Source organism: Homo sapiens, chromosome 12 (assembly GCF_000001405.40).
Source record: "Homo sapiens chromosome 12, GRCh38.p14 Primary Assembly".
Taxonomy (NCBI): Eukaryota; Metazoa; Chordata; class Mammalia; order Primates; family Hominidae; genus Homo; species Homo sapiens.
Window position 1 is genome coordinate 55,063,865 of NC_000012.12, and position 14,075 is coordinate 55,077,939.

At 38.7% G+C, this 14,075-nt stretch overlaps 2 annotated features.

The window, feature by feature from the left end:
• Nucleotides 4,455-5,005: an enhancer, noted in NCBI's record as "OCT4-NANOG hESC enhancer chr12:55462103-55462653 (GRCh37/hg19 assembly coordinates)". NCBI's record gives its function as "activates a minimal SCP1, AML or CMV promoter by ChIP-STARR-seq in naive H9 embryonic stem cells {active_cell/tissue: H9 hESC(naive)}" and the evidence as "EXISTENCE:reporter gene assay evidence [ECO:0000049][PMID:30033119]".
• Nucleotides 4,581-4,875: a silencer, noted in NCBI's record as "tiled region #1601; HepG2 Repressive non-DNase unmatched - State 12:CtcfO". NCBI's record gives its function as "represses a minimal TATA promoter and a strong SV40 promoter by Sharpr-MPRA in HepG2 cells {active_cell/tissue: HepG2}" and the evidence as "EXISTENCE:reporter gene assay evidence [ECO:0000049][PMID:27701403]".

Sequence of the window (14,075 nt, forward strand, 5' to 3'; positions counted from 1 at the left end):
CTAGCACCCTCAACTTACTTGAATCAGTCATTAATGTTGTAACCTTTGCTTTCAGTCCTTCAAAAGATATTTATTTAATGCTTACTCCTAATTTCTGCTACCAAAATCATTAAAATATATTGAAGGTGATGAGAATATAATAGACTAGAATTTAATGCAATGATATATCTAGGCTGACTATAAATTCATCCAGTCCAACGAAAGGAACTGTAAGCAAAATGTGTAAGATGAAGTTATAAGATATTTAACAAGGTGTTTATGAACCTGGATCTAGTATAAGATGAAAAAGCTATAATCCACGGCTATTCACCTTTATAACAGTGTTCTTTTCACTGTACCTCTCTGTGTACAATTGTTTTCTAATTTAATTTCCCTCTGATTATTTTTTAAAATAACTCATAAAGTTGCAATGCTTACAACTTATCTACCTCTTCTGTAGAGAAAGAGTTCAGGATGACAGTGGAACATTTTGTCCTCATTTTTTTTTCTCCCTCAAATTTGCATTACATGTTATTCAAGGGAATCAGAAATTTCTGTGAAAGACTCATATCTCCTGCCCTTTTCTCTGAGACATAGGAAAAGCACAATAGCAGAAACTGAAGAATAGATTTCTTAATAATTCTATGACCTTAATGAGAACACAAGGGACTGTGGAAAAAGCATCAGAGTTGAGCCGGGGTTCCAGTAACACTTCTAATACTCACGACTGTGTGGCAGTTAGCAAGCTCCACAACCGAGCTTCAGATTTCATTATCTGTAACTGTGAGAAGGCTTGACCCTCCCAGGGTGGTTTTGAGAATGAAGGTTTTATACTGTCTATGTCAAATGGCTGGCATGCAGAAGTCACCAACAAAGTGGTAATCTGTAGGCAAATACGTTTATTAACCACCCACTGTATAAGCTGCCTTATACTTTGTGGACCTGGCATGACAGCAGGGGAATTTAAAGGAAGAACACAGCACAGCATAACCTATGCTCCAAAGACATCTATAAGCTTGAGAAATGGCCAGAATAAAACAATTCAATTCCATAGGCATTTTTAAAAACTGTCACCAGGATCTAGTCTTAGAATAAAAACATAAGGCCTTGCTGAATCCTTCAAGGGAGTTTATGTCCCTTACAAAGACAGAGTATTACATAGGTACAGAAAATGTGATATTTGCTAATGTGTAAGTATTGACTCAGTACCACATGACACAGAGAAAGGAGGTTTGTACAGAGAGAAGTCAGAGTTATAAAGACGTTTAAGCTGTACCTAAAATAGTGAAAACAGAGAGAAGTAATCCAAGCAGTGGGAATGGCAGGGAAAACACAAACTTGAAAGTAATTGGGGTATCTTGGGAAGAGGGAATATTCTAAGGGACATAGATTGGTGGTCACTGTGTGTGTGTGTGTGTGTGTGTGTGTGTAGAAGTCTGGTTAAGGATGAGATTGGGTAAACTATGACAGACTAGAATCAACCTCAGGTGTATAGATTTGGCCCTGCTGACCATGGGGAGACATTGTGGCATTTCTACACAGAGAAGTGACAAGATTCAATGTCAGTGGCTGTATACTGGCTCTGGGAATGGTATATTTTGGTGAAGTTGCCCTCAACAAACGATTGTTTCCCGGAGGAAAGTTTGTTGTCTTCTTAGGATGGCATATTTTCACCAAAACTTGTCTAGGGAGCTGTAGATTGCTCATTGCCTCTTTGATAAGTGGAGGGTGGGTCAGAAGCAGGGATGGCCCCAGATCTGGTCTCCGCTCCTATCCCTCTGCAGGCCCATGAGAAACTTTTTCAAGATGCCGGTCTGGTATTCATACCCCATCTGTCATGATCCCAGTCTCAGTCCTGACTCTCATTAGAGCCGTGGGCAGAGCTGCCCTTCTCAGGGCTACCTCCACCTCCCTCTCATCCAGCCTCTACACCCGAACAATCAGACCAGAGTCAAGTTGATTGTTTCCTATGGAAATCAGCCATGTGGAGCCCTGGGGGAATAGCTCTGCTCTCTTGTGTTCATTTTCTTCCAGTGTGGACAGGGATTGGGGAGGGCAGTTTCTAGCCCTTCACATATGCCAGAGAGAGACTGAGACAGAAAAATAGAAGAGAGACCTGGAGGTATAGGCAGGGGTTTAGGGTGGAAAAGGGTAAGAAAGTAACAATAGAATTGCTTGCCTATGCCACAGACCATTTTGTTTGGGAAGAATCTCATATTTCTGGGGCTATGGGAACTGAGAGAGGGCAGCCTCATAGCTAGCTATCCTAAATATTAGCATGTTAGGACATCAGCATAAAGGTGGCATGAGTAGACACCTCATTCGTTTTACTATTACCCCCCAAATGCCAAAAGTGAACAGAGCATCATGCAAATTTGTAGGTCATGTGTTTATCTTTGTTCTGCTGGATGTAACTGAATGGATTTTTGAAAAAACTGATTAGTTACTCAGTGATGTTCAAAGAGGCAGAATATTTGGCATGCAGATAAAATATCTGCAGGTTTGACAATTGGTTTTATACTTCATCTGATTACTTACTTTGAATCTCCCACATTACTTTCAAACTTCACTAGAATTGCTTTGCAATTTGATATATACATAATTTATTTTGTTTTTGTTTTTCACTTTGTTTCCTTGACATCTTGTTGCATTTTTAAAATTTTGCTAGATATACCTTGTCCATAGCCCTTACTACTCACCTCTCTATCCTGTCTTTTGTCAATGAAAGCAAACATGATTTACTGTATAAACGTATTCTTTTAAAAATCCAAAGTTGATGTATTTATGAGGAAAAATTTTTATAATATAAAATTAGGAATATTCCTGCTAATCAGAGACATTGGTGCAAATTCAAGGCTGAGATCAGCTCAGGGACTAGGTGTTCTCCCCAAGGGGCGATATGGGTGGATGGTGGGGTTGGCAGTTGGATCAGAGGATGACCGAATGGACAGATCTAGGCAGCTGAGATTTTGATTCTTTGATTGGAGTTGAGAAACTTAGACACAGAATAACCATGTCCCTTTCTTTGGCTTTCCTGGTGCTTAATCTTTGACGGTATCTTTTGGAACACTTTTTAAAAGAAATTACAAGACCTTCCTAATTTCTTATTGAAGTAAGTAGTAATATTGAGAATAGTCTGGCATTCAAAGCCTCCACACAACAGTCTTAATCTACCACTCTGATCACTTATTCAAATACTTCCTAATAATGTACTTTATACACTTGCCAAACCAGACCATATTTTTTCCCCATTTAATGCAGACTTGGCTTTTGGATTTTCTTAGTTACAGTGCTTTTGCTCTTACGTATCCCTTTGATTGAGATTCTTATTTTTTTCAAGCCCCCTTTTCTCCCCTCCATGAACTATTTCAATCTTGCCTGACTTATTGAAATCAGCTAAATGGGTTCTGGCTCCTTCCTTTAAGTCTTCATGATAGTTTGTTACTTCATCTGTTATTTATCACTTTTTAATCTTAAATTTCTTTTTTTTTTACTGAATTCCCAGCTGCAGTTCAGACCCTCATTTAGAGAAGTGGGTAGCCTCCTTTTATTCCCATCCCCATTCTCATCCCATCAGACCCTCATGCCTGAAAAATATATGATCTCTCATGTATATATATATATATATATGTATATCTATATATATACACACACACACATATGTATATCTATAACTGTATATATAATGAATTTAAGTACCTTTTCATCTTCAAAATTTACAATTTTAACAGGTATTGATTGATTGGCAAAGTGTTACAGATTATACAGTGCTTTCTTGCTCCATCAGTAAGGGCATACTTTATGATTGTTGGGGTCAGGAGCTAGCCTTTAAAAATAACGTCTTACTCATGGAATCTGTCCCACACATATTTATTGGAATTATAAACAAATATCTAGAGTGTTCTTTACTTCTGTAAAGTTTAAAATGAGTCTGTTTTTTCCTCCGTGCCGTCGCCATTTAGCAGTGATCCTCTGTGACTGTGGCATCCGTCCCTGAACCTGGGCCTCAGCTTGCTGGGAGCTGAGCTTTCCAGAGAGGGCTGCAGACGCTGGGAGGGTGACAGATGGCTCCGCAGCAGCAACAGTTTGAGGAAGGAGTCATTGAGGGGCATCCAGGAGGGGCGTGTGTCAGACCTTCCTACTGGGTAGAAGAAAAGACCCAACGGGGGTATACATACCAGGGGTTATTTTATAGACTGGCTTTTGCAATTTGGATTAGGGAAACAAGTGCAAAATAAAAAGCTTCTTCCTTGCCAAAGACTTATTTTTCACTCTCTTCACCATCCTCAGAAGCCTCTGCACAGGTTACTTGTCCCTGCTGTCTCTTCCTGGTCAGCCTCCGTTTGTAACTTCAGACAGAGTTCTTTTCTGATTTAACAGGTTCTGAGAGGGGTCAACACCTCTCACACCCAGGGCTAGGCCCTAACCTGACACTTGAGCTCTGGGTCATGATTTCTAGAATGCTGGTGTTCCAGGGCTGGAAGGATGCTAAGGGGGACTGAGATTTGAACCCTGAAAGTCCAAAGAAGGATCCTGCAGTGGCAGGAATGACCAGGGTGTGGACAGGATTGGGGGACTGCTATGATTTTGTTTTCATGTCTACTTCTGAGCAAATGATTAAATCTCAGGGCTTAATCGTGCTGTTGAGAGTCTGTTCACTCGCCTGCAGCCCTGGCCTAGTCCCTCCCCATGGGGCCATTAACTCTGGAAATCCTAAACCCTCTAAGCCATTTCCATTAGCTCCTCAGGATTACACTGGGTATCCACCTAGTGGCTGACAAGGAAAACTGCAGCTTGGAAAGGCTGTTCCTCAATCACCTTCTGCACAGGCTACTGGGAGAGAGAACAGGGAGGAGCAGCACCAAGGCCCAGCCATCCAGCCCACACTCCCCAGACCTGTCCCCAGTCAGCTGATTCCAGCGTCTTGTAACACTTTTCATTCAAGCAAGTTCTTCTGAAGCGCCAATCATACCGCTTTCACCAGAGGCTAAACCTACCAATTATTTTATTTTATTTTAATTTTTTAGACTGAGTCTCTCTTTGTCGTCCAGGCTGGAGTGCAGTGGTGCGATCTCAGCTCACTGCAACCTCCACCTCCTGGGTTCAAGTGATTCTCTTGCCTCAGCCTCCTGAGTAGCTGAGATTACAGGCGTGTACCACCATGCCTGGCTAAGTTTTGTATTTTTAGTAGAGATGGGATTTCATTATGTTGTCCAGGGTGGTCTTGAACTCCTGACTTCAAGTGATCCTCCTGCCTTGGCCTCCCAAAGTGCTGGGATTACAGGTGTGAGCCACTGGGCCCAGCCTATGAATTTCTTTAAATACACCATGGATCAAGTTTTAGCCTCTTTCTCTGCAAGAGTGTGATCAAGTTAGTGGTTGTGTGGTCTAGGATATTGGACTTGAGTATGGCTTGGACAAATCAATTTGTTGAAAATCCATTTCCAAATTATTAAAATGAGGATGACATTTTTTCTGTTTTACGTAATGATTAATGCTTTACAGTTCATAAAAGTGTTTTTAAAATATTATTTATATAATTCATAGTGGTATGGTAGATGGTCAAGAGATACTGTTAACATGAAAATGTAGTTTATACTACTGAGAAGTTTCATATTATTCAGGATCTTCATCCTAACAGAATTCTGAGGGAGATCTGAGGTGATTCTACCCACTTCCTAGCTGGGAAATCTGAGGTACTGAATGAGAAAGCGACTTGTCACAGAACTGGTCAGCATTGAAATAAAACTAGAGCCTGGCTTCTTCTCATGACCCTCCTGGCACCGTCCATTAGATTACACTGTCTTCAACCATCGTAATATAGACTCACCCATGAAATGATGGTATAGTGCCTGTTTCTTGCACATGCCTGAGCCAAAAGTGAGAATTCAGTTATCCTTTGACGTCGAAGAAGTAGCGGTAAGTTCCCCCTGACCACTGCATCCAGGATGTTTGTGGATTTTTTTTCAAAAACAAATTTTTCTGAGTCCTAGCTGAAGGACTGGAGAGGAAAAATACTTACTGAGCTTAATTACGTGCTGGTGACTGAGATAACTGTGGGCTATTTTACGTTTATCATTCTGACTTTAATCCCAACAACAATTCTAGAGAGAAAATATAATGAAAGAAACCAACTTATATCAAAATGAGAGAGATACAGAAGAATTTTCTGACTTAGATTGTCAAATATTTGAAGAAATATTAGACAAATAAAGCTCATGCAATTTCCTTCTCAACCATTTAAATCTTTAAGGGGCAAATGAAACATGTTTATTGATTATTAGTGCCAAATACTGTATATATCTCTTTAAAACTTACAGCAACTATCTAGTAGTATTATAATTATTCTCATTTTATAGATGAGGCAACTGAGTCTCAGAGAGATTTAAAGAAAAAAATGTTACTCTAATTCACACGGTGGTTGAGTGGTGTGGGCACGAATAGCAGGCTGAACAGTCTGATTCTAATGTCCACTCTTTTTACGTTACACTACATTGATCTACTCTGTTACATTCACATGACATAATACAAACCCAGGCCTGTGCTGTCCAATACAGTAGCCATTAGTCCTATGTGACTATTTAAATTAATTAAAATGAAATAAAGTTAAAAATTCAGTCCCTCAGTCACATAAGTCAATATTTCATATGTTCAATGGTCATGTGTGGCTAGGGGCTACTCTATACTGGAAAGAGCAGATATAAGACATTTTCATTAATGCAGAAAGTTTTTGACAGAACAAGATCCCCTCTAGATGAGAAGTGGTACAGTGGAGTGGGTGAGGGCATAGGCTTTAGAGTCAACAGATTTGGGCTTGAAACCTACTTTTCCCACTGTTATTTGTATGATGTTGTCCTTGATTAATTGTACTTTTCTTATTTAGTCCTCAATTTACTGGTTTGAAGCCTGAGGACAATAACAGATTTTCCCTCAAAGAGTTATTAGAGTCAGACAGAGAGCAGAATTCCAGAAAATTGGTAAGGAGTTGGCAGAAGTTAGCTATTATCACAAGCTATCTACAGTTTTGAAAAAAATGACTATGTTTTGTTAGAAATAGGCACAAAAGGGTATATACATATTTGATTTACTGTATTTGTAAAATAAGCCAGGTTGATATGAGAATTTTCCTAAAGCAGATTTAGTAAAAATTTTGTCCAGGAATCATATTTGTGCAAAAATTTGCTACCCTACTCAGAGTAGGGATACTATATTTCATCCTTGAATTCCTGTGGCCTAGCACAGTGTGTGTCTTGATTAGTTTTTTGTTGCTGTAACAGAATACATTATAGTGTATTCTGGGGAAACTTATTAAGAAGAGAAATTTATTTCTTACAGTTCTGGAGACTGGGATGTCCAAGGTCAAGACACTGGCAGGCTTGGTGTCTGCTTCCAAGATGGTGCCTTGAATGCTGCATCCTCCAGAGGGGAGGAACACTGTTCCTCACATGGCAGAAGAGCAGAAGGGGAACCCACTTCCAAAAGCTCCTTTATTGCAACATTAATTCATTCATTAGGACTGAGCCCTCATGACCTAAACACCTCCCATTTGGTGCCACCTCCCAACACTGTTACATTGATGATTAAGTTTCCAACACATGAGTTTGGAGTAGACAAAAACATTCAAACCATAGCAGAGCCTTACATTTAGTAGTCCTATATATGTTGGCTGAAGTGAAGTGAGAGATGGCAAGAGGTACAAAAAGGGATGGTCAGATGCATTTTGTTTTGTCTGGTCCATCATGTTGTACATCACACCACAAACCCCAGTTTCACATAAATGAGCTAGGGTGACCAACCATCCTGGTTGCCCACCTCAGAACTTTCCCTGTTTTAGAACTGAGAAACCTCTCAGGCCCAGGAAAACCAGAATATTTAGTTACCTGACTGGGTTCAGCTTTAATGAGAATCTGACTTTAAGGTCAAGTAAAAGGTTTATCTACTTCTATAGCCCAATATTACTTAAACGTGAGAGATATCCATTCCTTTTATCATCAAAATAAACAAATGAAGTTCAGCCAAAATACGAATAAGGCTCTTGATATCAGAATATCTCCTATTTTGTTGTGGGAAAGGGGGTAGGAAATGGGAAGATACTGAAAGGAGAGTGTTAGGTCAGGGAGAGCTGGAACTAGAAAAAGGTCTGGAGTGATGCAGGATTTTTCTCAGCCCCTTTGTCAGACTAATGACAGGGGTGCCCTGTTTACTTGGCCCACCACACTCAACCCTTTGTGAGAGAGAGCATGTGAGTAAGTGAGTGGGATCCAGCCAGCTGCTTTGGGCACCAGCAGGAGCAAGCTCAGTGTGGAGCCTGCAGTGGTGCCCAGGTGGGGGTGCCTGCCACCCCAAAACCCCAGAGGGCATGTTTGCAGTGCTCTCATAGCTCTGCCATCTGCAGACAGCAGTGTCTTAGCAGCTCGGTTGGCCCGTTGCCTCATTGTGTGGGGTGGCTGCCCTCTGCTGGCAAGGGCAAAGAGCCAATGTGGCAGCCTTTTTTGGGTACCTGCACTCAGTGGGTTCTGAGCTCTTGGATGCTGGACAAGAAGAATGAGGTTAGCCTTGAAGGATGGTGAAGGCGGAGAATTTTATTAAGTGATGGAAATTGTTCTCAGTGGACAGGGGAGCTGGACAGGGGATGGGACAAGCAGGTAGTCTTTCCCCCAAAGTCCGGCTGGCTCTTTCACGAAGTCCAGCCAGCTATTCCCTGAAGTCAAGCCACCTCAGTGAAGTCAAGCTGCCTCTCTTCTCTACTGACTGAGTCTGGGGTCTTTATAAGCACAGGATGGGAGTGGGGGCAGGCCATAGGTAGTTTTGGAAAAGGCCATGTTTGACTGGTAAAAAGACATTACTCAGAAAGAGCCAATTGGGAGAGAGTGGGCAAAGAGGAATGGAAGTTCTCACTTTGGGCTGCAGGTCTCAGGCCACTTTGGCATGAAGGTGGGTTTTCACCGGGGACCCGCCCCGTCTGCCTAGAATTTCTCTGCCTCCTGCCTCTATCAGGAGGACCTAAGCAAAAATTTTGCTCACTACTTAGTTTACATATTTTGTTATTCCACCGTATCATTTCTCTTAGAAATAACAGTCCCTAGAGGATCTGGGATAGAGAAAGGCCACAGTGAATGTTTATAATACTGTGAAGGAGCTGCCCTGGAAACTAAAAGATCAGGTTCTAATCCTGGTTCTGTCATGAACTATTTTTGACCTTTGATAAGTCGCCTACATTTTCAGAAATTCAGTTTCCTCTTTGGACTCTGAAGGAAAATGTGGGCTCAATTGATCAAAAGATCCTAGTTCTTTGTAGATCGAATACTTAGGATTTAATAGGAACATCCTCTCAGAAGCCCATCATGACTTTTCACCACTGACTAGGCCAAGTATTGATGGTGCTATCATGGGGATGTGCTGCCACCTTGCGGTAGTTTGAGTTGTCCGCATGCACTAGTTTACTAGGAAAATCTCTGATTTATTTTCCTACAATATGTTGTTATTTTCACCCAAAGGAACACATTCTTTTAAAATTTGGAATCCTTAGGATATCTTCATTTACTTAGATTTTTTTGTAGCAATATTTTGTAGTTTTAAATGTAGAAATATTAAACATCCTTGATAAAATTTATACCTTTATTTTGATATTATAAATGGTACTTTTAATATTAAAATAAATTTAATTTTACAATTTCTGTTGTTAGTATATAGTAATAAATTGATTTTTATATATTAATTTTGTATCCCAAGATTTTTTTAGATTTATCTTTCGGTTTTAGCAGTTTTTTGAGGGTGGTAAGGGGGCTAGATCCTTAGGATTTTCTATATGCAAAATTATGTAATTTTGAATAAGGAAATTTAAACTTCTTCTTGACCAATCTGTATGCCTTTATCTTCTTTTCACCATTGAATATGATGTCAAAAGGTTTTAGTAGACAACACTAATAGAATGCTTACTGTTGTTTCTGTAGTCTTATAAAAGTATGAAATACATTAATCTTATTTATTTATTTATTTATTTATTTATTTATTTATTTTTGAGATGGAGTCTTGCTCTGTCGCCCAGACTGGACTGCAGTGGCGTGATCTCAGTTCACTGCAACCTCCACCTCCTGGGTTCAAAAAATTCTCCTGTCTCAGCCTCCCAAGTAGCTGGGACTACAGGAGCATGCCACCACGCCTGGCTAATTTTGGTATTTTTAGTAGAGTCGGGGTTTCGCCGTATTGGGCAGGCTGGTCTCGAACTTCTGACCTCAGGTGATCCACCCACCCTGGCCTCCCAAAGTGCTGGTATTACAGGCATGAGCCACTGCGCCTGGCCACATTAATCTATTTAATCATCATAGTCCTCTGGGATATGTACTATCATTGTTCCTGCTTTAAAGATGACGAAATTAAAGTTTAAGGAGGTTAAATGTCTTACCTGAGGTCATCAATGACAGAGCTATCAAATGGAGGAGCTGGATTTTAAACTTATTCATTATGTTATTCTACTGCTTTATGCTTCTTCCAAGAATTCTTAAAAGTTACATTTATTGTGGTACAGTTTCTTAGGCTTTGTTTATCTGAGAATATTTTTATGATATCCTTACACTTACGTTATAAAATTTTAGATTCTAACTTCTTGACTCAATTCTTTCAGTGCAACCTTTAAGAAATCAAATGGCAACATCATTCTTCTTTTAAGATCATCTGCTGTTTATTTCTGAAGGGTTTTCCAGATCTCTCTGTATTGTAGATATTTCTAATTTTTTCTATAACATGTCACTGTATTTTCTCCTTAAGTGTCATGTTTAGTCTTCTGTGTTCCCTTTTTGTTTGAAATTGTTCACATATGTATGTTTTATGTATAATTCTTACAAATTTTCAATCAGCGTGGCTGTTCTTAAGCATGTTTCCATTCATGTTTGAGCTAGGGATAAAAATAATGAGATGGTGAGGGACTTCCTAAATTTAAAATAAACATCTATTCATCTAAAGATCATGGAATTCTATTTTTTTTCCCAATTGCTTTGATAAAAAGCAAACAACATGAAAAAGTTATTGGCAGGTTGAAAAGTCTAACAGAAAACATTTGCTTAAAGCTGGTCTTCGGCTCTTTGTTTCCACTTTTATGACGATTAGGAAGCACCTGGACTAAGCCGGCAAGGCACCATGCCAAATGGAGCAGAAACAAGTTGCTCAGAAATTCATTAAATTTACATCTTAATGAAAACTATTTTCTGCCTAGAAACAGTATGAATATAATAAATCCCAGTGGGGAGATTCTGGGTTTGTTGGATAGGACTGAAAATGAAGAAAGTTTTTGTGTTGTAGTTGCAATTGTTAAATGATGAAAGAGAAGTTCTAAGAGCACTAGTGATTGGGAGACTAGGAGACATGTTTTTTCTATATGTAGAGTTCCAATTCAAACCCCCTAAATGATTCATAGACTACTTGACATTGTCTATAAATCACTAACCAGTGACTTTTATTGGGTTTAACTCATCTTCTCCAACTTCTAAAACTGAAGAAGCTTCTGGGCAATCTCAATTGACAAAATTATTTAGCCACCTCTTCTAATATTACTTCTAAAGGATATATTTAACATGAATAACAGACCTTGGATTCAATTAATAAAATGATTTATTCTTCATAATTAAAAAAGAATAATCAATTTCTTTTTTTAATTTTAATTTTTATTTTAAGTTTCAGGGTACATGTACAGGCTATGCAGGTTAGTTACATAGGTAAACATGTGCTATGGCGGTTTGCTGCACCTATCAACCCATCACCTAGATATTAAGGCCTGCATGCATTAGCTATTTCTCCTAATGCTCTCCCTCCCCCTACCCCATACCCTGACAGGCCGCAGTATGCATTGTTCCCCTCCCTGTGTCCATATGTTTTCATTGTTCAGCTCCCGCTTATGAGAACCTGCGGTATTTGGTTTTCTGTTCCTGTATTAGTTTGCTAAGGATAAAAGCTTCCAGCTCCATCCATGTCCCTGCAAAGGACATGATCTTGTTTTTTTATGGCTGCATAATATTCCATGGTGAATATGTACCACATTTTCTTTATCCAGTCTATCCATGATGGGCATTTGGGTTGATTCCATGTCTTTGCTATTGTGAGTAGTGCTGCAATGAACATATGCATGCATTTATCTTTGTAGTAGGATGATTTATATTACTTTTGAGTATGTACTCAGTAATGGGATTGCTAGTTCAAATGGCATTTCGGGTTCTAGATCTTTGAGGAATCACCACGCCATCTTCTCCAACGGTTGAACTAATTTACATTCCCACCAACAGTGTAAAAGCATTCTATTTCTCTGCATCCTTGCCAGCATCTGTTGTTTCTTGACATTTTATAATTGCCATTCTGACTGGAGTGAGATGGTGGCATCTCATTGTGGTTTTGATTTGCATTTCTCTAATGATCAGTGATGTTGAGTTTTTTTTTTCGTGTTTACTGACCACATGAAAGTCTTCTTTTGAGAAGTGTCTGTTCATGTCATTTGCCCACATTTAATGGTTTTTTTTAATGTAAATTTGTTTAAATTCCTTGTAGATTCTGGATATTGGACTTTTGTCAGATAGATAGATTACAAAAATTTTTTCCCACTCTATGGGTTGCCTCTTTTCTCTGATGATAGTTTCTTTTGCTGTGCAGAAGCTCCTTAGTTTAATTAGATCCCATCTGTCAATTTTTACTTTTGTTGCAATTGCTTTTGGCAATTTTGTCATGAAGTCTTTGCCCATGCCTATGCCCTAAATGGTATTGCTTAGATTTTCTTCTAGGGTTTTTATAGTTTTGGGTTTTACATTTAAGTCTTTAATCCATCTTGAGTTAATTTTTGTATAAGGTGTAAGGAAGGGATCCAGTTTCAATTTTCTGCATATGGTTAGCCAGTTTTCCCAGCACCATTTATTAAATAAGGAATCCTTTCCCCATTGTTTGTTTTTGTCAGGTTTGTTGAAGATCAGATGGTTGTGGATCTGTGTGCTCTTGTTTCTCTAGTTCTTTTAGTTGTGATGTTAGGTGTCAATTTGAGATCTTTCTAGCTTTCTGATGTGGGCATTTACTGCTATAAATTTCTCTCTTAACACTGCTTTAGTTGCATCCCAGAGATTCTGGTACGTTATTTCTTTGTTCTCATTGGTTTCAAAGAACTTCTTAATTTATTCCTCAATTTCATTATTTATGCAAGAATCATCAATTTCTAAGATAGTTTCTGAAATTTGCTATCATTCTTATTTTAAAAATGCAGATTAAATTGAGTTGAGACTCTTGATTTCATGTGTTACACACAGAGCATATAAATATTAGATGAAGCTAGTGTTTCAGGATGTGGAAATGGATTTTTATTGTAATATTCTATTCCAAAGGCAGTCCTAGCACATGCTAGATATCAGTGGAGAGAAATTGGTGATACTGTGGGGTTTCTAAGTGCTGAGGCAAAACTAAATAACGAATAGAAATTCTGAGTAGTTATTCTCACCAAGGGAACCATTGGGGAGAGAGACTCAGGAATTGGGGAGAATTTTTGAAGAACCTGCAAAAACTCATTAGTAAAATAGTCAATTTTCAAGCTTTTCCTAGCAAGAGAGCTATGACGGTATATCATAATAACAGTATCTTCAAATCTGAATTTCCCTATCCTCTTTCTTCATTTCTCCACTTCAATTATGAAAGGTTAGAGAGATGGGAGAGAAGAATTCCTATGCAAAGGAAGACTAAACTAAATCTTGCACCCACTCTTCTATTGCAGAGCTTGCTGCATGTGATGTGTTATAAACTTTAAAATAGGTGTTTACCCATCATCTCTGTGGATTTTACATTATGATATAACATCCACCTTGGTATCTGGTCTGTATTATCTCTATACTTGCAGCTTAAATATTTATTAAACTAGCTACATATACGAGTCCTATCTTTTAATCTACAGATCTATATTTATGTATAGAATATCATGGGTGAATCTGCCTCAGAGGGATCAAGTCTATAACTTTCATCAGCTCTTTAAATAACTCATACTTTTAATTGCTATACTATCAAATAAGTAGTTTCTTGCATAGTAAAAACTGCTTCTATTCAAAATCTAAAATCTGAATTATATGTGTAAGCTTATT